This window comes from Homo sapiens, chromosome 1, assembly GCF_000001405.40.
Source record: "Homo sapiens chromosome 1, GRCh38.p14 Primary Assembly".
NCBI lineage: Eukaryota > Metazoa > Chordata > Mammalia > Primates > Hominidae > Homo > Homo sapiens.
In genome coordinates this window covers 224,196,009-224,219,366 of record NC_000001.11, presented here as the reverse complement: position 1 = coordinate 224,219,366, position 23,358 = coordinate 224,196,009, and the positions used below count along the sequence as shown (strand labels likewise).

The 23,358-nt window shown below is 47.9% G+C and overlaps 1 long non-coding RNA gene across 1 annotated transcript, besides 4 other annotated features; it reads left to right on the top strand.

Moving 5' to 3' along the window:
• Positions 1,564 to 1,761: a silencer, noted in NCBI's record as "fragment chr1:224405308-224405505 (GRCh37/hg19 assembly coordinates)". NCBI's record gives its function as "represses an EF-1alpha promoter that drives an FKBP-Casp9 reporter gene in an ReSE screen in K562 erythroleukemia cells {active_cell/tissue: K562}" and the evidence as "EXISTENCE:reporter gene assay evidence [ECO:0000049][PMID:32094911]".
• Positions 4,176 to 4,869: an enhancer, noted in NCBI's record as "H3K27ac-H3K4me1 hESC enhancer chr1:224402200-224402893 (GRCh37/hg19 assembly coordinates)". NCBI's record gives its function as "activates a minimal SCP1, AML or CMV promoter by ChIP-STARR-seq in primed H9 embryonic stem cells {active_cell/tissue: H9 hESC(primed)}" and the evidence as "EXISTENCE:reporter gene assay evidence [ECO:0000049][PMID:30033119]".
• LOC101927143 (uncharacterized) lies at positions 6,088 to 10,620 on the top strand. Its single transcript, NR_110669.1, has 2 exons — positions 6,088 to 6,612; positions 10,356 to 10,620. It is a non-coding gene; the product is annotated as an uncharacterized LOC101927143 (long non-coding RNA).
• Positions 8,315 to 8,484: an enhancer, noted in NCBI's record as "experimental_5412 CRE fragment used in MPRA reporter constructs". NCBI's record gives its function as "activates a minimal promoter by MPRAs in K562 erythroleukemia cells, with activity observed for the introgressed 1:224398670 variant allele {active_cell/tissue: K562}" and the evidence as "EXISTENCE:reporter gene assay evidence [ECO:0000049][PMID:34662402]".
• Positions 14,357 to 14,406: a silencer, noted in NCBI's record as "silent region_1851". NCBI's record gives its function as "represses an Ori minimal core promoter by ATAC-STARR-seq in GM12878 lymphoblastoid cells {active_cell/tissue: GM12878}" and the evidence as "EXISTENCE:reporter gene assay evidence [ECO:0000049][PMID:35858748]".

Below are 23,358 nucleotides of genomic sequence, written 5' to 3'. Positions count from 1 at the left end.
CCTGAGAGGCAGAGGTTGCAGTGAGCTGAGATTGCGCCATTGCACTCCAGCCTCTGTCTCAAAAAAATAAAACAAAATAAATCATGTCACTTCTCTGTGGAATATTCTTCAGGGGCATGAATTCATTAGTCTAATTACACATGGACTTTGTAATCTGACATCAACCCACCTTTGCTACCTGCCCCTCCTCTTTCCTTGATTGGATTGATTGCCATTCCATTCCAGTGCTATGTTCTATCACACCTCTGAGTTTGTGCTCATGATGTTCCCCCTTCCTAGAATGTCTCCTCCCTACCACCCATAGGGACTGCTTTGGGATTTCAATACCATTTCCTGAGCAGCTTTCCCTCCTCCATCTGCTTTCAGCTCAGACTGCCTTCTATGCTGACCTGGACTGACCAGCACTGATACTAGATCTGCTATTTAAGTGCTAGGCTAAAATTGACAATAGCATGTCCTCTCCTCATTTTGGCATCTATAGCACTTGACACATAATAAGCACCAAGTTACTTTTTTTTTTTTTTTTGAGAGTCTCGCTCTGTCGCCCAGGCTGGAGGGCAGTGGCGCGATCTCGGCTCACTGCAGTCTTCGCCTCCCGGGTTCCAGCAATTCTCCTGCCTCAGTCTCCTGAGGAGGTGGGACTACAGGCATGCACTGCCACGCCCGGCTAATTTTTGTATTTTTAGTAGAGATGGCGTTTCACCATGTTGACCAGGCTGGTCTTGAACTCCTGACCTCAGGTGATCTACCCTCCTCGGCCTACCAAAGTGCTGGGATTACAGGCGTGAGGCACCGCGCCTGGCCAGCAAGTGACTTTTTATAATAATTGAACAACTGAATCACTTTATTCTATGGCACAAAGCACAGTTAACAGTGAAGAGATCTGATGTCATTTCCACCAAACTAAGATTTCATGGCTGTCTGCAGACAAGCCATAAGGCTTTGGAGGTGGGGCTTCCTCTGGTATTTAGTTACTGCTGGTCAGAAGCCGTTTTAGCAATACTTCTCTCATGATGAGGGGCCCAGGAGCCCTGAATATGGTCAAGGCGTTCAAAAGAAACTTTCTAAGACCCTGGCCTACAGGAACATTCTCTAAAACAGCTTCAAAGAGGAGACTATAGATAATTTATTACAACCAAAATTCTAATTACCTTCTTTTGTACAGACAGGAAAATCTACTTCCCCCTTTGGCTGATTGTGAGCCTGGTACGGGGACAATGGATCTTCTTTTCAGATTCCAGGAAGTTTTGCTCACTTCAACTTTCTCAAAATTAATGTTGCAGAAAGATAAATGAGTTTCACAGTAACTGAGGACTTTAGAAGTGGAGACATTGGGTGAGGGAACTAGCATAGTCCAGGGAGCTATAGAAATGCTGTTTCACAGTGTATAAGGAAATCAGTTTTTCAAATTAAAAAGCCATATATTAGAAAAGTGGATCAGGGCCAGGGGCCATGGCTCAGCCTGTAATCCCAGCACTTTGGAAGGCCAAGGGGGGAAGATCCCTTGAGGCCAGGAGTTCAAGACTAGCTTGGGCAACATAGCAAGACCCCATCTCTAAAAAAAGAAAAAGAAAAAAAAAAGAAGCCGGGTGCAGTGGCTCACACCTGTAATCCCAGCACTTTCGGAGGCTGAGGCGGGCGGATCACTTGAGGTCAGGAGTTTGAGACCAGCCTGACCAACATGGTAAAACCCTGTCTCTACTAAAAATACAAAAATTAGCTGGGCATGGTGGCATGCACCTGTAATCACAGCTACTCAGAAGGCTGAGGCAGGAGAATCACTTGAACCCAGGAGGCAGAGGTTGCAGTGAGCTGAGGTTGTGCCACTGCACTCCAGCCTGGTCAACAGAGCGAGACTCTGCCTCAAAAAAAATAAATACGTAAAATAAAATTTAAATTTAAATTTAAAAAATTTTAAAAAGAAAAGAAAAAGAAAAAGAATTAGCCAGTATGGTGGTATCCCAGCTACTCGGGAGGCTGAGGCAAGAGGATTGCTTGAGCCCAGGAGATCAAGGTTGCAGTGAGTTGTGATTGTGCCACTGCACTCCAACCTACATGACAGAGTGAGGCCCAGTTTCTAAAAAAAATTAAAACAGGAGGTGGAGAAAAATAAAGAAAAATGAATAAAAGGAGATGAAAAGCAAATTAATTCAACAACGCTTTTTGAGGACCTATGTCATGTCTGATTTTTTATTTATTTTATTTTATTATTTTTTTGAGACAGAGTCTCACTCTGTCACCCAGGATGGAGTGCAGTGGTGCGATCTCACCTCACTGCAAGCTCCGCCTTCCAAGTTCACGCCATTCTCCTGCCTCAGCCTCCTGAGTAGCTGGGACCACAGGCGCCCGCCACCACGCCCAGCTAATTTTTAGTATTTTTAGTAGAGACAGGGTTTCACCGTGTTAGCCAGGATGGTCTCAATCTCCTGGCCTTGTGATCCGCCTGCCTCGGCCTCCCAAAGTGCTGGGATTAGAGGTGTGACGCACCGCGCCTGGCCTTCATGTCTGATTTTTAAAAATTGCTTCATTTGGCCAGGTGCAGTAGCTCATGCCTCTAATCCCAGCACTTTAGGAGCCAAAGCAGGAGGATCACTTGAGTCCAGGAGTTTGAGACCAGCCTGAAGAACATAGTGAGACCCGCATCTGTACAAAAAAATAAAATTAATCAGGCATCGTGGCATGTGCCGATAGTCCCAGCTACTCAGGAGGCTGAGGTGGAAGGATTGCTTGAGCCTGGCAGGTTCAGGTTGCAGTAACCCAAGATCCTGTCACTGCACTCAGGCCTGGGCAACAGAGCAAGACACTTTCCTTTTTTGTTTGTTTTGTATTTTTTTTTGAGATAGAGTCTCGCGCCATCGCCCAGGCTGGAGTGCAGTGGTGTAATCTCGGCTCACTGCAAACTCTGCCTCCCGGTTTCAGGCAATTCTTCTGCCTCACCTTCCCAAGTAGCTGGGATTACAGGCACATGCCACCACTCCCAGCTAATTTTTTATATTTTTGGTAAAGACAGAGTTTCACCAGTTGGCCAGGCTGGTCTCAGACTCCTGACCTCAAGTGATCCACCTGCCTTGGCCTTCCAAAGTACTGAGATTACAGGCATGAGCCACCGCACCCAGCCACAGAGCAAGACACTTTCTCAAAAAACAATTGCTTTATTTTTCTCAGCCCACTAAGAACTAACATTGAAGTAACAATCTCAATGAAAGATTCTTAAATCCTTTATTGCCAGTCTCAGTTTATAGTCTACTCTAGATTCATTTGTGAAGAATGAAATTATTTGTATCCACTTTAATTTGGCATCTTGCATGGCACGGGTTTGGAGATTCTGTGCTTTAGCAGCCAAAATGTCACAGGCCTTGCTATTAATAGTTCCTGGTGGCATGGGATAGAGGAAAAAGACAGGTGGACTTAGAAACATTAGCTTGGCCGGGCACTGTGGCTCACGTCTGTAATCCCAGCACTTTGGGAGGCCGAGGCAGGCGGACCACTTGAGGCCAGTTGTTCAAGACCAGCCTGGGTAACATGGCAGAACCCTATCTCTACAAAAAATACAAAAAATTAGCCAGGCATGATGGCATGTGCCTGTAATACCAGCTACGCAGGAGGCTGAGGCATCAGGATCACTTGATCCCAGGAAGCAGAGGTTGCAATGAGCCAAGATCGTGCCACTGCACTCCAGCCTGGGTGACATAGTAAGACTCTGTCTTAAAAATAAATAAATAAAAAATAAACAAGTGGCCAGGCGCGGTGGCTCACACCTGTAATCCCAGCACTTTGGAAGGCCGGGGCAGGTGGATCACCAGGTCAGGAGGTGGAGACCATCCTGGCCAACATGGTGAAACCCCGTCTCTACTAAAAATACAAAAATTAGCCGGGCGTGGTGGCAGGAACCTGTAGTGCCAGCTACTCAGGAGGCTGAGACAGGAGAATCGCTTGAACCTGGGAGGCGGAGGTTGCAGTGAGCCAAGATCACACCACTGCACTCCAGTCTGGGCAACAGAACCAGACTCCGTCTCAAAAATAAATAAAGAAGTGATTTTTAAATGGATAGGATGGAAGTGAGGAAACACCCATCCTCCTGTCTAGTCTAGAGAGTAAAACATTTAAGAAAGTGGACAAATGTTTAACTCTAGGGACATTAAAGAATGCTAATGTCTCTCCTTAGGCATAATTAGAAGCCAGTGCTTGCATTGTAGTTAAGTCCTGTTGAATACTAGATAACAATGGACATTTCTTTTACAGGACTACCTGTCAGGAGATCTGAGGTTACCCTTCGATTTTTTTTTTTTTTTTTTTGAGACGGAGTCCCACTTTGTTGCCCAGCCTGGAGTGCAATGGCGCGATCCCGGCTCACTGCAACCTCTGCCTCCCGGGTTCAAGCGATTCTTCTGCCTCAGCCTCCCGAGTAACTGGGAGTATAAGTATGTGCCACCACGCCTGGCTAATTTTTGTATTTTTAGTAGAGACAGGGTTTCACCAGGTTGGCCAGGCTGGTCTCGAACTCCTGACCTCGCGATCTGCCTGCCTCGGCCTCCCAAAGCGCTGGGATTACAGATGTGAGCCACTGCATCCGGCCGTTTTTTTTGTTTTGTTTTGTTTTGTTTTCCCGAGACAAGGTCTCACTCTGTCACCCAGGCCGGAGTGCAGTGGTGTGATCTCAGCTCACCGCAGCATTGACTTGCCCAGGCCAGGTGATTCTCTCACCTCAGCCTCCCAAATAGCTGGGACTACAGGTGTGCACCACCATGCCCAGCTAATTTTTGTATTTTTAGTAGAGACAGGGTTTCACTGTGTTGCCCAGGGTGGTCTCGAATCCTGAGCTCATACAATTCGCCCACCTCAGCCTCCCAAGGTGCTGGGATTACAGGCATGAGCCACTGCTTCTCGCCTACCCTTGGATTTTATGTTGCAAAATATTACCTACATTAGCCACACACGGTGGCGCTTGCCTGTAATCTCAGCTACTCCGTGGCTGAGACACGAGAACCACTTGAGCCCGGGAGGCAGAGTTTGCAGTGAGCTGAGATCGCACCACTGCACTCCAGCCTGGGTGACAGAGCGAGACTCTTTAAAAAAATATAAAAAATTACCTACAGTTTCTTATCAGAATTACTGAATCATAATGCTACAAAAGTCCCTAGAGTCATCTGTGAGTGTTTCTCAGCTGGATGACGCAAGAATCAACTAAGGGTTTTCAAAAATATGTTACCTGGGCCTCCCTACAGGCCAATTATATCAGAGTCTCCAGGTGGGGCCTGGGCGGCTGCAGCTAGTTAAATCTCTCCAGGTGATTCTGATGTTCCATGAGAGGAGAACCCCTGACACCCAACCTCCAGTTTAAAGAAGAGGAACTAACCCAGGGCCCAGATAATGACTGTCCAGGAGCATGCACTAGTGGCTCCCAGGGGTGGGGCCCAAGTCCCCTGCCCCCAGGTCAGCATGCTTTGACTAAGACCACAGAGTCTCACCCAGATTCCAGATAGGAGAGAATGGTGACTTGGTTCCATTTCAGAGTGCTTTTTGCTTTGGTTTACTCCCAGCAGCAAATGGGCAGGGCTGGGGATGGAAGCCAAACACATAGGGTGTGTCTCCCGATACCTCTCTTAAATCTCAGGGAGACACAGTCAGGACTGCAATATCTTATCAGTGCCTGGATGGGGAGGGGACTGCCAGGTAGGGGAGGAGAGATGTGGACTCACTGCCGCCCATATCTCCAGTCTCCTCAGCACCTAGAAACAACTTACACTGCCTTATAAGGCTGAAATGCTGCTGCCAGAGAGCTGTGGGGCCCAGGCCTTGAATTCTTGGTGCACCAGTGCTTGACAGGCTCCCCTTATTTCCCACTGGCACCGCTGGGCCTAGGGGTTTTCCTATTGTTTTTCTAAAGGCATTCCAAGGCCAGGACAATGTTAATTTAAGTTCCTCCAGGCTGAATTTTTTTTTTTTTTAATTACAGAGGGGTGTCACTATGTTGCCCAGGCTAGAATGCTGTGCACTACAACAGGCTCAATTCTCTCTCTCTCTCTTTTTTTTTTTTTTGTCGGAGATGAGATCAGCTAATAACAGACTCAATTCCTGACCTTCCTAGTTTTCTGAGACTGCATCCACTTTGATAGTTTCTACTGAGTCCAAATTAGAACATCCCAGCTGGTGGGCTGTCTCCCAGGAAGCCCTCGGAGAGGAGCGGTGCATAGGGGGCACCTGGACACAGCCCACCTCCCCCGAGTAGCGTCAGGTAGGCTTGTCTATCTACATCCTTTCGCCCTTTCTCAGGAAACTATCAGATGATGTGCTCCCCCAGATGAAGAAGTAGTGCCAGGAAAAAGGAGACACGGGATACAGGGATCCTGAAGCCGGCGGAGGACAAGGGAGCTCCTGGGAGGACAGCTGTGCTCCGGCCTAGCAATAGCGAGCAGCTGGTCCAGACTGCCGCCGTGACTCAGAAGATAGACATGCGGAGGGTTATGATCACAGAGCAACGATGGTCCTTGTACATGAAGATAAAAATGCTCAGGTGTGCCCAGGTTGAAGAAGATGAAAGGCCCTGCCTCCCAGAGCGCCCGGGGACACTGGTGATCTCTTCCAGGTCTGTTTCCACCCACTGCAGCTGTGGTGAGTCTAGAGGCAGAAAATTCATAGCAGCCCATGCCCTTTGACCATGTTTCTGCTGGTCAGCCTGCACCTCACTCACACTACGCCCTGTGACACAACCCCAGACAGACTCTGGAGAACTCAAGGGGACGTGGAAGCCAGGCTCTGCCCGGAAGCTCCACTCAGGTCATCTTCAGGGAGCCGTGGGAGCATCATTGCCCTCCCCTTTCAAAGCTAGGTCTGTGCTTACTGCTCAGTTTTTTTCCAAACTAAACAATGTTTTTGAGAGATTCACAGAGAGATAAAAGCAATTAGGAATAAATGCCAGGGGGTGGTTAACACAAAGGTGGGGATATTGGTTACCTCTGGAGAGGAAAGGGGATGGAATGGCAGAGTGCTCAAGGGTCTCTGGAGGTGCTCCTGTCTCCAGTGTAGTCACGTGAGGTTCACTTTATTCTTTAATCTGTACATACACTTTTTTTTTTTTTCTGAGATGGAGTCCCACTCTGTCGCCCAGGCTGGAGTGCAATGGTGTGATCTCCGCTCACTGCAACCTCCACCTCCCAGATTCAAGCGATTCTCCTGCCTCAGCCTCCTGAGTAGCTGGGACTACAGATGTGTGCCACCACGCCTGGCTAATTTTTGTATTTTTAGTAGAGACAGGGTTTCACCATGTTGGCCAGGCTGGTCTCAAACTCCTGACCTCAAGTGATCCGCCTGCCTCGGCCTCCCAAAGTGCTGGGATTACAGGCGTGAGCCACTGTGCCTGGCCTGTACATACACATTCTCTATAAAATATTTTGAAATAAGCACTTTTAATTAATTAAGGATTGTTCTGGAAAAGAAAAAAACTTTCTACTGAAATAATTGGCTGAGATAGAAGTAATTATGTCTTAAATGATCTAGATAATTTTATGACTGGCTGAAGCCTCAGCATCAGAAGCAAGGGCTGAACATTTTGGCTTCCTGCCAACCTTGACTCACTGAGCAAATGAATTTACCTTCAACAATATGTACAGTCCAGATGTGCATTTGTGCCTGTCTCATTCTCAATATGAAATATGTTTTGAGAATTGTTTGGGGTAAAAACAACAAATGATCTCTTTTGTCCACATACTTTTCACCGTTCCTTCCTCGGCAGCCAAGTCGACTCAGCTGGCTCTTTGGGACCTGGCACATTAAAACTAAAATGTGCTCCAGTGGACTTCACTGTGTTTTTTTCTTTCTTTAACCAGCACAGGAGCTGCAGAAGGGCATTTTGAAGTCTGGAGGTAATGCCAGTTGGCCTGGGCAGGGAACAATGTGTGATTAAGCAGTGAAGGGGATAAGGGACAAATTCCGGGAGCCCTGCTTATCTCTGCTGGAATTACTGTACTGCAGGTCTCAAATCCTGAAGGATCCTGTATTTGTTTTCACCTGGAACCTGGACCACATTCAGGTGGCAGATTAAAATTAAGCCAAGTTCATTCCAGGCCATCCTAATGATTTTTTAATTAGCATCAGTGCACAGTGTAGTAATTTGCAGTTCATAGTCCACTTGTAAGTTGAAATTAGAAACTGCAAGGACAGTAATATAAGTGGGAGGAGAGATTTCATTAATCCCGTCAACAAATATTTATTGACTGCAGCTGTGCTAGTGGGTAATGATAATACAGCTAAGAGCCAAAACAAAGTTCCTCCCCTATGGGCCTTTCTTTCCAGTGGGAAGAGGGTACAGGGTACAGTCAATAAATCCAAATATATATATTTATGTATGCACACAGATATATATATAAAACAAGTGGAATGTGCTGTGAAGAAGAAGCAGGGTAAGGCTCTGGAAAGGGCCAAGGGTGTGCGTGAGTGGGGTGGTTACTGTATAGAGATTGGCCACGCCGGGTGCAGTGGCTCACGCCTGTAATCCCAGCACTTTGGGAGGCCGAGGTGGGCGGATCACCTGAGGTCTGGAGTTCGAGACCAGCCTGACCAACATGGAGAAACCCCATCTCTACTAAAAATACAAAATTAGCCAAGCGTGGTGGCGCATGCCTGTAATTCCAGCTACTCGGGAGGCTGAGGCAGGAGAATGGCTTGAACCCGGGAGGCAGAGGTTGCTGTGAGCTGAGATCGTGCCATTGCACTCCAGCCTGGGCAATAAGAGTGAAACTCCCTCTCAAAAAAAAAAAAAAAAAAAAAAAGAGAGATTGGCCAGGAAAGGCCTCTGGCAAGATGATCTCTGAAGGAAGTGAGAGTAAGTGGTGCAGCTTTTGGGAGGAAGATAGTGCTGGGCAGAGGGAAGAGCAAAGGCTACGTCTCTGCATTCCAAGATTACAAATAGAGGGTAACATTCACCCTCCACCCCTCAACGCCTCTTTCCTGTGACCTTCGGGAGCTGCAGAACTTCAGTGTCCATCAGTCAGAGGCAATGCCCCTGACCCAGACGCCTCTAGTTGAGAGATAGACAGAGCTGGATTTATAGCACCACAGACCTGACCTGGAATGAGACTTGCAAGTATGTCAGGGAGCTGCACGCTAACCTAGGAAGAGGCTGGCCAGGTACCATTTTCTGTATGGTTATGATGAAGCAGCTGGTACAAATGTTAGGGGACAGTGGCACATGGTGGGGGAAAAGCCCAGCGCTCAGCTTCTGGTCTGGCTTTTCTACCTTAGGACCTTTTACTGTGGTCTGTGGGTCTTGGGGTCTGTGGGTCTTGGGGTCTGTGATTGGATAAATGAAGGTAAGTAGACTGGGAAGGACAGAACAGGGAACACAGATCTGCTTTGGCCGGGCATGGGTGGCTCAAGCCTGTAACCCCAGCACTCATAATGACTTACAAAAGCATTCATTCATAACTTACAAAAGCATTCATAATGGTGGCCTTTGAGAGCTGGGATTATGGACAACTTATATACCTTTTTGCTACTTTTATGTGAATTTCTACAAATTACTTTTTTTTCTTTTTGAGACAGGGTCTGGCTCTGTCGCCCAGGCTGGAGTACAGGGGCATGATCTCAGTTCACTGAACCCTCCTGGGTTCAAGCAATCCTCCTGCCTTAGCCTCCCAAGTATCTGGGACGACAGGTGTGCTCCACCACGCCTGGCTAATTTTTCTATTTTTAGTAGAGATGGGGTTTCGCTATGTTGGCCAGGCTGGTCTTGAACTCCCGACTGCAAGTGATCCACCTGCCTCGGCCTCCCAAAGTGCTGGGATAACAGGCATGAGCCACTGTACCTGGCCTACAAATTACTTTAGCAACAGAAAAAGAAGGTGAGCAAAGTTATGCACAAGTGTATTAACAAACTGCTCTCCTGTACCTAAATCAGTCATTCCTTTTTTTGAGACAGAGTTTCACTCTTGTTGCCCAGGCTGGAGTGCAATGGCATGATCTCTGCTCACCACAACTTCCGCCTCCTGGGTTCAAGTGATTCTCCTGCCATGCCCGGCTAATTTTGTATTTTTAGTAGAGACGGGGTTTCTCCATGTTGGTCAGGCTGGTCTCAAACTCCCAATCTCAGGTGATGCGCCCGCCTCAGCCTCCCAAAGTGCTGGGATTACAGGCGCGAGCCACTGCACCCGGCCACTAAATCAGTCATTCTATCCAGTTCCTTGCATTTACTCCTTTCTTGTGCTAACCCACAGCCAGTACTTAAGAGTATTTAAGTCCTCTCTCCTTTCATGAGTCACTCCTTTTTGTCTTGTGACTATACTTGGAAAAATTTTATTATTCATTCATTTATTTATTTATTTATTTATTTATTTATTTATTTATTTATTTATTTTTAGATGGAATCTTGCTCTGTTGCCCAGGCTAGAATGCAGTGGCGTGATCTTGGCTCACCAAAAATTCTGCCTCCTGGGTTCAAGTGCCTCCACACCCAGCTAATTTTGTATTTTTAGTAGAGACGAGATTTCACCATGTTGGCCAGGCTAGTCTTGAACTCCTGACATTGTGATCCACCCACCTCAGCCTCCCAAAGTGCTAAGATTACAGGTGTGAGCCACCATGCCCGGCCTACCTGGAGCATTATTAAAACCTTAAACCTTTAAATTTTTCATCATTGTGCTTTGTTTCCTTAAAGATTAGGAAAGGGATTGTCAGCGGATAAGACTTGCCCTCTTCTGCTGCTCTCTAGCCGTGGGCAAGTTCCTTCCACTCACTGTGTGTCATTTTCTTCATCTGTAAACACAGGATAATAGTAACAACACCTCTCTCCTAGGGCCTGGACGGGGCATGCCAGTAAGGGGTCCTGAAGCTTAGGCCCCTGGGATTTGGATAGAGAAAGTCATGGTGAAGGTGGGTGTGACATTGGTGAGGTGGCATTGGACACCCTTCAGGGCCTCTCCTGTCCTCTGTACACTCCAGACAGTGCCCATTTGTGCAGAGGCTGTCCTGGGTCTCTGCCTGAGGGCTTTCTCTGCTCCTCTACCCCAGACCAATCCGAAGTGTCCCCACGAGCAACCTTCAACCAAAGAGGGACAGGAGTCGGTGAACATGCACCTCAGCCTCCTCACCTCTCCGAGGAACTTTAAAAAAATCTTGTATTGGCTGCATGGCAGAGATGGGGGGATTGCTTGAGCCTATGAGTTCACAACCAGGCCTAGGAACATAGTGAGACCTCCCTCTTCCCTCGGCCCAACCCGCCAACACCCCCATCTCTACAGAAAATTTTAAAATTAGCCAGGCTTCGTGGTGGGAACCGTAAAAATCTAAGAAGGGTCTCAGTTAATTTAGAAAGTTTATTTTTGGCTGGGAGCAGCAGCCCACACCTGTAATCCCAACACTTTGGGAGACCGAGGCAGGCGGATCACTTGAGACCAGTTCATGACAGCCTCAGGAGGTCCTGATGACATGTGCCCAGGTAGTGGGGGCACAGCTTGGTTTTATTTTTATTTTTTACTTTTTAAATTATTATTATTTTTTTGAGACGGAGCCTTGCTCTGTCATCCAGGCTGGAGTGTAGTAGCATGATCATGGCTCACTGTAACCTCCGCCTCCTGGATTCAAGCGATCCTCCTGCCTCAGCCTCCCAGGTAGCTGGGATTACAGGCACATGACACCACACCCGTCTCATTTTTGTATTTTTTAGTAGAGATGGGTTTTCACCATGTTGGTCAGGCTGGTCTTGAACTCCTGACCTCAGGTGATCTGCCTGCCTTGGCCTCCCAAAGTGCTGGGATTACAGGCGTAAGCCACCACGCCCGGCCACACAGCTTGGTTTTTTCTTTTTTTTTTTTTTTGAGACGGAGTTTCGCTCTTTCACCCAGGCTGGAATGAAGTGGTGTGATCTCAGCTCACTGCAGCCTCTGCCCCCCAGGCTCAAGCGATTCTCCTCCCTCAGCCTCCCGAGTAGCTGTGATAACAGGTGCCCGCCACCACGCCCGGCTAATTTTTGTATTTTTAGTACAGACGGGGTTTCACCACATTGGCCAGGCTGGTCTCAAACTCCTGACCTCAGGTGATCCATCTGCCTCGGTCTCTCAAAGTGCTAGGATTACAGGCGTGAGCCACCGCGCCAGCCAACAGCTTGGTTTTATACATTTTAGGGAGACATGAGAAGTCAATCAATGTAATATGTACATTGGTTCTGTCCGGAAAGGTGGGACAACTCAAGCAGGGAGAGGGTTTCCAGGTGACAGGTAGGTGAGAGACAAAGGGTTGCATTCTTTTGACTTTCTGATTAGCCTTTCCAAAGGAGGCAATCAGATATGCATCTATCTCAGTAAGCAGAGGAATGACTTCCTAATTTTTTTTTTTTTTTGAGACGGACTCTTGCTCTATCACCCAGGCTGGAGTGCAGTGGCATGATCTCCGCTCACTGCAAGCTCCACCTCCTGGGTTCACGCCATTCTCCTGTCTCAGCTTCCCGAGTAGCTGGGACTACAGGCACCTGCCACCATGCCCGGCTAATTTTTTGTATTTTTAGTAGAGATGGGGTTTCACCATGTTAGCCAGGATGGTCTCAATCTCCTTACCTCGTGATCTGCCTGCCTCGGCCTCCCAAAGTGCTGGGATTACAGGCATGAGCCACCTGCCCAGCTGAGCAGAGAAATGACTTTCAACAGAATGGGAGGTAGGTTTGTCCTAGCAGTTCCCATCTTGACTTTTCCCTTTAGCTTAGTGCTTTTAGGGCTCCAAGGTTTATTTTTCTTTCACAGTGGCATATGCCTGTAGTATCAGCTGAGGTAGGAGGATCATTGGAGCCTGGGAGGTCAAGGCTGCACTTAGTGATTACGCTATTGCACACCAGCCTGGGTGACAGAGTGAGACTCTCTCAAAAAACAAAAAATGGCCAGGCATGGTGGCTCTCACCTGTAATCCCAGTCCTTTGGGAGGCCAAGACAGGCGGATCACCTGGGGTTGGGAGTTTGAGACCAGCCTGGCCAACATGGTAAAACCCCATCTCTACTAAAAAAATACCAGAATTAGCCAGGCATGGTGGCAGGTGCCTGTAATCCCAGCTACTCAGGAGGCTGAGGCAGGAGAATCGCTGGAACCTGGGAGGCGGAGGTTGCAGTGAGCCGAGATCGTACCATTGCACTCCAGCCTGGGTGACGGAGCGAGACTCTGTCTCAAAAAACACAAAACACAAAACAAAAAATCTTGTATTGTAAAATCCAGATACAGAAAAATACACAGAGCAAACGTGCAGCTTAATGAATTACTCCAAGGCAAACACCTCTGTAACCATTGGTGGGACATTGCGAGAGCTCTCAGGAGTCCTGGGGAATGAGCTCCAGTTGCCTACAGTGGTTACCTGCTCCTTAAGTGACACACGCTTTACTGGCCTGCTTTTTTGGATTTCCTTTTCTCACTCATTTCAGGATCACCTTCCAAATAAGCCATATACCCAAATTCTCATCTCAGGGTCAGTTTTTGGTGAAACTAGAAATCAGGCCGTTTCTAAGGAAGTCTTCTTTAAAGAGGTGGCATTTGAGCTGAGAGCTGATTATTGAGAGGGAGGTGGCTCTGTGAGCTCTGGTCTAGTGTCTACGCAGAGGACACCAAGCAGGCCCTGGGACACAGCAATCCTGAGTGTGTTTGGAGCAGAAAGCAGCCCATGGTGGCTGGACCACAGGGAGAGATGGCCTGGGAGAGTCAGGCAGGAGCCTAATCATATGGTTTACAGCCCTGCGTGTGTGTGTTGGGGTTGGGGGGGGGGGGCTGGGTGTGTGTATGTGAGCAACGTGTGAGTCATGTGGGATGGGAGGCCCCCTTGCACTTTCCTTCTCAGCCCCTTGCCACCTGACATCCACACTCACACATCCTCACAGGCAGTTCCGTTTTGAAAACCTGATTTCATGTGGCCAGTCCAGTCTTAGGACAAATATATATTCATAGAAGGCAATTTAAAAAGCCAAGTCGGCCGGGCGCGGTGGCTCACGCCTGTAATCCCAGCACTTTGGGAGGCCGAGGCGGGCGGATCACGAGGTCAGGAGATCGAGACCATCCCGGCTAACACGGTGAAACCCCGTCTCTACTAAAAATACAAAAAATTAGCCGGGCGTGGTGGCGGGCGCCTGTAGTCCCAGCTACTCGGGAGGCTGAGGCAGGAGAATGGCGTGAACCCGGGAGGCGGAGCTTGCAGTGAGCCGAGATCCCGCCACTGCACTCCAGCCTGGGTGACGGAGCGAGACTCCGTCTCAAAAAAAAAAAAAAAAAAAAAAAAGCCAAGTCATCTCAACCCGAGCTACACTAGATGCACGGCTGTGTCAGTTACCAGAGTCCAGCTCGGTGTTGGCTAATAGTGGAAGCACAACTTCCATTGCCAAAGCTCAGAGACAGAAACTCCGGAGATGGAGCAGGCAGATAAGTGTGTGGCTGGCGCAGAGCCAGGCCCTCGGAGATGACGAGCATGTCTCTCACCAGCCCCTTCTGCAGTGAGTGGCTGTCCCACGGGTCTCTCCAGCTGCCAGGGGAGAATGAATTAGGGTGTTGAGAATTACCCAAACCCAAGGCTGGGGAGGGTGTGACTCCATCTAGGCCAGTCCTTGTCTTTGCTAATCCAGCATGACCCAGGCCTGCTGTGGAATATTTTGGAATATATTGGAATATTTGGAATATATTGACAGTGCAAGTTAAGAGTTTTGTTGATTAAAAAAAAAATACTCAAGTCAAATTTATAGAAACAGAAAGTAAAGTGCTAGTTGCCAGGGGCTGGGGGAGGGAAAATAGGGAGCTGTTTAATGAGCATGGAATTTCGGTTTTTCTTTTTTCCTTCTTCTTCTTTTTATTTTTTTTTTCTTTTTCTTTCATTTTTTTATTTTTATTTTTTGAATCTCAGATTTTCAAGATGAAAAGTTCTGGAGATAGGTTGCATAACAATGTGAATGTATGTAATACTCCTGAACTGGACACGTGAAAATGGTAACAATGGGCTGGGTGCGTTGGCTAATGCCTGTAATCCCAGCACTTTGGGAGGCCGAGGCGGGTGGATCACCTGAGGTCAGGAGTTTGAGACCAGCCTGACCATATATGGTGAAACCCCATCTCTACTAAAAATACAAAAAAAAATTAGCCAGGTGCAGTGGTGGGCGCCTGTAATCCCATCTACTTGGGAGGCTGAGGCAGGAGAATTGCTTGAACCCGGGAGGCAGAGGTTGCAGTGAGCTGAGATTGCACCATTGCACTCCAGCCTGGGCAACAGAGTGAGACTCTGTCTCAAAAAGAGAAAAAAAAAATGGTAACAATGGTGTATTTTATGTTCTTTGTATTCTATGATAATTTTTTTTTTTATTTCTTAAAAAATAAACTCAGACAATAGTTTGGGCAGCAAGCACCGACTGCCATGGTTTGGAACAAGTGTGACCTGTGCTCTGACTGCTGGCACTGTCCCAAATGACTGACTCCTGTAGCTTGGTGTTCCCAGTGGCATCAGTAACCAGCATTACCACAACCCCTGCAGTGAGTGACAGTGCTTTTCCCATCTGATTTCCAAGGCATCTCAAGGTCCCGGGAGGGAGGTAAGAAAAGATAGACAAGATAGATAAAGGAAACCAGCCCAGGGAAGGTAATTTGCTTCAGTCACACTGGCAACACAACCTGTCTTTCTTTCCTGTCCCTGGCTCTGAGATGCCTAAGGGGCTGCACTCCCAAGTCGGGGTTCTTCCTGGGCCCCCGGCCACCGGGTTTGACACCGGTGGCTTATTAAACAGCTGCTCATCATCCCCTGGTCATGAGGAGGGGGAGTCAGTGACTTGAGGCACTCACAACATCCAGATTCCTTTTGGCAAACAGGACCCCAGGCCGAGGAGTTCTGCTTGCTTGTCCTGGGATGGCCATCTGATGATCTCAGCTGGGCTTTGCAGAGTGCTGTGGTTTGGAGAACTGTTTCTGAGCCAGCTCTGAAAACTATTTGGTTAAATGTGAGCTCCAGGCCACAGACTCCTGTTCCTGCTTTCAATTCTGCATTCTCCTGACCATTGGAGTGTGGAAGTAGCTTGGGGTGTTCATGGGCTGCCCCTCCCCCAACCCACACACTCACCCTCACTGAGAGCCACTGCTTGGCCTGCTGCCTGTGTTCCTGGGAGTGGGACGGTTCATATTATCATTAGAAAACCCCATCAGTTATACTAAGTAGAAAGCGGGCTCTGAATTTGAGGAAAATTATCATTGTAAAATCCTTTTTAAGAAATACAAACTTTGGGCCGGGCATAGTGGTTCACGCCTGTAATCCCAGCACTTTGGGAGGTTGAGGTGGGCAGATCACCTGAGATCAGGAGTTCGAGGCCAACGTCATGAAACCCCATCTCTACTAAAAATACAAAAACTAGACAGGCGTGGTGGCATGCACCTGTAGTCCCAGCTACTCGGGAGGCTAAGGTGGGAGAATCGCTTGAACCCGGGAGATGGAGGCTGCAATGAGCAGAGATCGCGCCACTGTACTCCAGCCTGGGCTATTGAGTGAGACTCCATCTCAAAAAAAAAAAAAAAAACACAAATATTGGCCAGGTGTAGTGGCTCACTCCTGTAATCCCAGCACTTGGGAGGCTGAGATGGGAGGATTGCTTGAGGCCAGGAATTTAAGAGTTCAAGGCCTTTCTCTTAGCCAGGCTCAGTGGCTCACACCTGTAATCCCAGCACTTTGGGAGGCCGAGGCAGGTAGATCACTTGAGGTCAGGAGTTCGAGACCAGCCTGGTCGACATGGTGAAACCTGTCTCTACTAAAAATACAAAAATTAGCCAGCCAGGTGTGGTGGCGGGTGCCTGTAATCCCAGCTACTCGGGAGGCTGAGGGAGGAGAATTGCTTGAACCTGGGAGGCAGAGGTTGCAGTGAGCCGAGATCGTGCCATTGCACTTCAGCCTGGGCAACAAGAGCTAAAGGAAACTCTGTCTCAACAACAACAACAACAAAGAGTTCACGAGCAGTCTGGGCAACATAGTGAGCCCGGACCCAGTCTCTTTTTTTTTTTTTTTTTTTTTGAGACACAGTCTCCCTGTGTCACCCAGGCTGGAGTGCAGGGGCGCAATCTCGGCTCCCTGCAACCTCCTCCTACCAGGTTCAAGCAATTATCCTGCCTCAGCCTCCCAAGTAGCTGGGATTACAGGTGCACGCTATCATACCCAGTTAATTTTTTGTATTTTTACTAGAGATGGGGTTTCACTGTGTTGGCCAGGCTGGTCTTGAACTCCTGGCCTCAAGTGATCAACTCACCTTGGCCTCCCAAAGTCCTGGGATTACAGGCATGAGCCACCACGCCCGGCCTGGTCTCTTTTTAATTAAAAAAAGAAAAAGAAAAATGCAATGTCATGGACTTTGTAGACATTGGGTTAGAATTTTGGCTGCATGACTTTAGACAAGTTACTTATTCCTTCCTATTAGTTTATTTTCTTGGCTGCAAAATGAGGATAATACCAATGTAAGGATGAAACAGTCCATAAAGAGATGAGCACAGGCCCCGGCACTTGGCAGGAGCCCCATCAATATTGTCAGCTCCCAGTTAGGATTCTCTAGGAATAACCAGACTCGTTGTATGCATTGTCCTTTGGTTCTCAAAAACAGTTTGGCCTCTTAGTATAGAATTCTGTGAGGTAGGTTAAAGTTCTTCTTACGTCCTTGCTTATGTTATTAATTTACTCAGCAAACTTTCCCAGATCCAAGGTAACCTTTAGAGCAGTCAGGTACAAATGGGTCTGGAGCAATGTTACTCTCTTCCCTGGCAGTGCAGTCATGAGCCTGAGCTGGCTGCAGAGAAGAGCTCACTGCATCTCCCTGGAATGTGGGGAGTTGACTGGGGAGTGGATGGGGCCCAGCCCTCCCCAGAGAAGAATATCTTTCTGATCACTGCCGTCTGTGGTGGGGCATTCAGACTCCAGGATTCCCAACTGGACGGCAGCAATCCCTCATTTCATACGTGACCAGACGGAGGTTCTTTGTGGATATGTAATTGATGGGTGGTGGTGGTGTGGCAAGGGCTGGGGCTTAGAGTGAGGCTGGTTCAAATCGGGTTCTGGTTCTGCCACTACTCAGAGATCAAGCTGGCCAACTTGATGCAAGTTACCTAACATCCTTGATTCTCAGTTTCCTCCTCCCTAAAATAAGGATAAGATTATCTACTTTACATTGTGTATGTTACAAGGAGATCATATTTTGATTAAAATAGGGAGTGTCATTTTCCTAATATTTGCTTACACTTGTCTCTGATCCTTTTTTTGGGGGGCGGTGGGGGGATGGAGTCTCACTCTGTCTCCCAGGCTGGAATGTAGTTGTGGCGCAGTCTCTGCTCACTGCAACCTCTGCCTCCCGGGTTCAAGCGATTCTTGCACTTCAGGCCTCCTGAGTAGCTGGGATGACAGGTGCGTGCCACCAAGACAGGTATGCGCCACCAAGACCCTGTCTCAAAAAAAGAAAAACAAAAAAAAAACTTTTTTTTTTTTTTTTTTTTTTTGTGAGACAGAATTTTTGCTCTTGTCACCCAGGCTGTAGTGCGATGGTGCGATCTTGGCTCACTGCGACCTCTGCCTCCCAGGTTCAAGTGATTCTCCTGCCTCGGCCTCCCAAGTAGCTGGGATTACAGGTGCCTGCCATCACACCTGGCTAATTTTTGTATTTTTAGTAGAGACAGGGTTTCACCGTGTTGACCAGGCTGGTCTCAAACTCTTGGGCTCAAGTGATCCACCTGCCTCGGCCTCCCAAAGTGCTGGGATTATAGGCATGAGCCACCACCCCCGGCCTTAAAAGAACCCACTTTCTACACTCTCTAGCCTATTTAACAGCCAGCATAGAGGAGAAAAGCAGATTTCTTTTTTTTTTTTTTTTTTTTTTTTGAGACGGAGTCTCGCTCTGTCGCCCAGGCTGGAGTGCAGTGGCATCATCTCGGCTTACTGCAAGCTCTGCCTCCCGGGTTCACGCCATTCTTCTGCCTCAGCCTCCCGAGTAGCTGGGACTACAGGCGCCCGCCACTACGCCCGGCTAATTTTTTTGTATTTTTAGTAGAGACGGGGTTTCACTGTGTTATCCAGGATGGTCTCGATCTCCTGACCTAGTGATCCGCCCGTCTCGGCCTCCCAAAGTGCTGGGATTACAGGCATGAGCCACCACGCCCGGCCGAAAAGCAGATTTCTTAACCTGTGTTTATGGTGGCTAAGGAGGGGAGACTACAGTTCAAAGTAAGAAGGGAATGGGACAACCCCTTGTGCCAAAATATATATATACATCTCAGCTACCTAATGGGAGGGGAATGTAAGGCTTAAACCACCAAGTAGAGAAATGAAGGGCTATTCTGGGTGTTACTGGCCCCTCTGTGAAGACTGTGAGAGCAGCCCTTGGTAATACACTAATAGGGGAGGGAGATTATACAGGCCCTCCTTGGGTTAGCAAATTGCTGACCTGCAAGGATTTAGAACACAACATTGAGGGCAGCTCAATTCCTCCAGGCCTTTTCCACAAAGCATCTATTGTATTTCTTTCTCAGGGATTACTAATACAGGGAAGTGTACCTAGTAACCGGGAGATCCACTCTTGACTCCATAAAAAAGTGACTTATGTTTCTTTGGGTTCCACCTTTCTTCCCAGACGGTGCTGTCTGTTCAAACACTCTCATGCAGCCAGGGTTACAGAGAACTCCCCAGGACACTGTCCTCACCCTTGCTTTTTTTTTTGTTTTTGAGACAGGGTCTTGCTCTATCACCCAGGCTGGAGGGCAGTGGCATGATCTCGGCTCACTGCAGCCTCTATCTCTTGGGCTCAAAGGATCCTCCCACCTCAGCCTCCCAAGTAGCTGGAATCACAGGTGCATGCCACCACACCTGGCTAATTTTTTTTTTTTTTGAGAAGGAGTTTCGCTCTTGTTGCCCAGGCTAGGGTGCAGTGGCACAACCTTTGCTCACTGCAACCTCCAACTCCCAGGTTCAAGTGATTCTCCTGCCTCAGCCTCCCAAGTAGCTGGGATTACAGGTGCCTGCCATCACACCTACCTGATTTTTGTATTCTGAGTAGAGACGGGGTTTCGCCATGTCGGCTAGGCTGGTCTCGAACTCCTGACCTCAGGTGATCCACCCGCCTCAGCCTCCCAAAGTTCTGAGATTACAGGCTTAAGCCACCATGCCTGGCCAATTTTTGTATTTTTGTATTTTTTTTTTTTTTTTTGAAACAGAGTCTCGCTCTGTCACCCAGGCTGGAGTGCAGTGGCGCGATCTCGGCTCACTGCAAGCTCCGCCTCCTGGGTTCACACCATTCTCCTGCGTCAGCCTCCCGAGTAGCTGGGACTACAGGTGCCCACCACCACGCCCAGCTAATATTTTGTATTTTTAGTAGAGACGGGGTTTCGCCGTGTTAGCCAGGATGGTCTCCATTTCCTGACCTCATGATCCGCCCGCCTTGGCCTCCCAAAGTGTGGGCCACCATGCCTGGCCTTTGTATTTTTTATAGAGGTGGGTTTTTGCCGTTTGCCCAGGCTTGTCCCGAACCTCTGGGCTCAAGCAATCCTCCTACCTCAGTTTCCTGAATAGCTGAGACTACAGACATGAGCCTCCACACCTGGCCTGCTTTTGGACTGGTGTACCAGTTCATACATGCCTGTGATAGCAACTGCATTCTGAACTGCAGGGATGCATTTACTTGTCAGCACCTGAAACCTTCCTCCTGAGTTGAGTCCAATTATCAGCTTCATGTGCCATCTGCCAATCCAGATGAAACTTGGCAAATACAAAGCTGTTCATTTCCAGGTGACGCTCCCCACCTTATTTTTCCTCCACCGTTTCATTAACTGAAAAGCTCCTGCATGATCAGACCTGTGTATCTATCCATCATCAAATCCTACTCCTTTTTCAACACTGGGACCCTCCTGAGGCTGTCCCAGCCCTGCGTTTGCTAGCACGCCCTGCAGGCATGACCCTCGCTGGGCTCTGATCAGCCTTCAGGCCTCCACTCCAGGTGTCACTGCTCTGTCTCCCCTCTGCTCTCAGAGCCTCCTCTGCCAGGCGCCTCGGCCATGCTGGCCCTCTGTCTCAGAAGTCAATGTACTGAGCAGGTCTTAGGGATTTATTAGTGATGCTCCTGGGGCTGGAGGCAGTGGCTAACGCCTGTGATCCCAACACTTTGGGAGGCCGAGACAGGAGGACCACTGGAGTTTAGGACCAGCCTGGGGAACACAGTGAGACTCTGTCCCTATACAAAATAAAAATAGGGGCCGGGTGCAGTGGCTCACATCTGTAATCCCAGCACTTTGGGAGGCTGAGGCAGGCGGATCATAAGGTCAGGAGTTCGAGACCAGCCTGACCAACATGGTGAAACCCTACCTCTACTAAAAATATTTAAAAAAAAAATTAGCCGGGCATAGTGGCAGGTGTCTGTAATCCCAGCTACTGGGAAGGCTGAGGCAGGAGAATCGCTTGAACCCGGGAGGTGGAGGTTGCAGTGAGCTGAGATCACACCACTGCACTCCAGCGTAGGTGATAGAAGCAGACTCCATCTCAAAAAAAAAAAAAAAGCCAGGCATGGTGGTGCACGCCTGCGGTCCCAGCTACTCGAGGCTGAAATGGGAGGATTGCTTGAACCTAGGTGGTTAAGGCTGCAGTGAGACATGATCCCACCACTGCACTTCAGCCTGGGTGACAGAGCCAGACCCTGTTTCAAAATAATAATAATAATAATAATAATGTTCTTGGATTTCAAGGGCACAGTTTTTCAGAGCCTTCCTAGCCCTAGGTCATCAAACTGTTCTTGCTTCCTTCCAAATGGCTAAGGCTTCTAGAAGATTTTCCTAACAAGAAATACATGAACTTGTCCAAAGAGCTTCCAAGAGGAATAGCATAAAGCATTGGCTTTAACACACATAGCTTCAGGCCCTGGCCCATGTTGTGTGACCTCAGGCTAGTTACTTGCCTAACCCTGTTTCTTCCTGTGAAAAGTGTGGGAGACAATACCTACCTTCCCAGGCTGCCGTGGATTAGCACAATATTTGCACGTACAGCCTGGCAGAGCACTCACCCTGATCAGCGATAGCAATGTGTGCCCTCTACTCAGTCCCAGCCACATCCTAATTCTCCTGTTTTAAGTCCTTTCTTTCTTAACATGTACCTCCCAGCACTAGAGCATTAGCTCCTTAATTTGGGGCAACATTTTGTCTTTGTATCCTCACTGCCTAGTGCAAGCCTGCCAAAAGCATCTGTAGAATGAATAAATGAATACATAAATGCATTTTTTGCATGGATTTAAACATTAATGTTTCATATTTGAATTTTAGATTCAAGAGTTGGAAAAAAACAGAGACCTAGCCAAAATGCTGGCATACAGGAAATGGTTAATGAGGCAGTAGAGTATGTATGTAGTAATAGGAACATGTGTTTTTCATTCTCATTACTGTTTCAGGACGAGGCTCATAATGTAAGCCAAATGGAATATGGTTAAGGCTTTTGGGTCTGGAGTCCACAGAGTCTGCATTTCAGGTTCAGTTTCTGCAGTTTACTAAGTGTGACCTTCGGCCAGTTACTTAATCTCTCTAAGCCTTTTCTGTCATCTACAAAATGAAGATATTAATAGTACTGCTTATAGCATATAAATGTTGAGACTTAAATACAATAAATTGTGGTTCATACCTGTAATCCCAGCACTTTGGGAGGCCGAGGTGGTTGGATCACTTGAGCTCAGGAGTTTGAGACCAGCCTGGGCAACATAGCGAAACCCCATCTCTACAAAAAATACAAAAATTAGCTAGGTGTGGTGGTGTACACCTGTAGTCAGTCCCAGCTTCTTGGGAGGCTGATGTGGGAGGATTGCTTGACCCTGGGAGGCGGAGGTTGCAGTGAGCTGAGATTGCAACACTGCACTCCAGCCTGGGCCACAGAGCAAGACTCTGTCTCAAAAAAAAAAAAAAAAAAAAAGGAACAACAACAAAAAAGTACAATAGTTCATGTAAAACACTTGGTACAGGACTCAGTGAAAAGTAAGGATTCTCATTGAATGTCCATTATTTGTAGCATAAAATACTTTTACCTAAAGATTATACAAGTGCCCTGTCTTTGGCTGTGTTTTTGTTTTAGAAAAAGCTTCTCAAGTTCAAGGACTCTCCCTGCTGGTCTCTCTCCATTTATCAAGCACTTACTTTAAGTCAAACACCCTGCTAGGTTTGGGAAACAGAAATAAAAGATGTGTCCTGCTCTTAAGGAGTTACAACTTATGGAGAAACAGTGCCTATTTACACAATGGTATGATTAGGGCCATGAAGAGATAATCATTGGTTCTCAAAGTCAAAAAAATTGACACCTGACCTGCTGGGGACTGGGGGTGGGTAACAGAAGGCTGCTGTGAGCCTTGAAGGTGTGAAACTTTGAACCAGAAGAGAAAC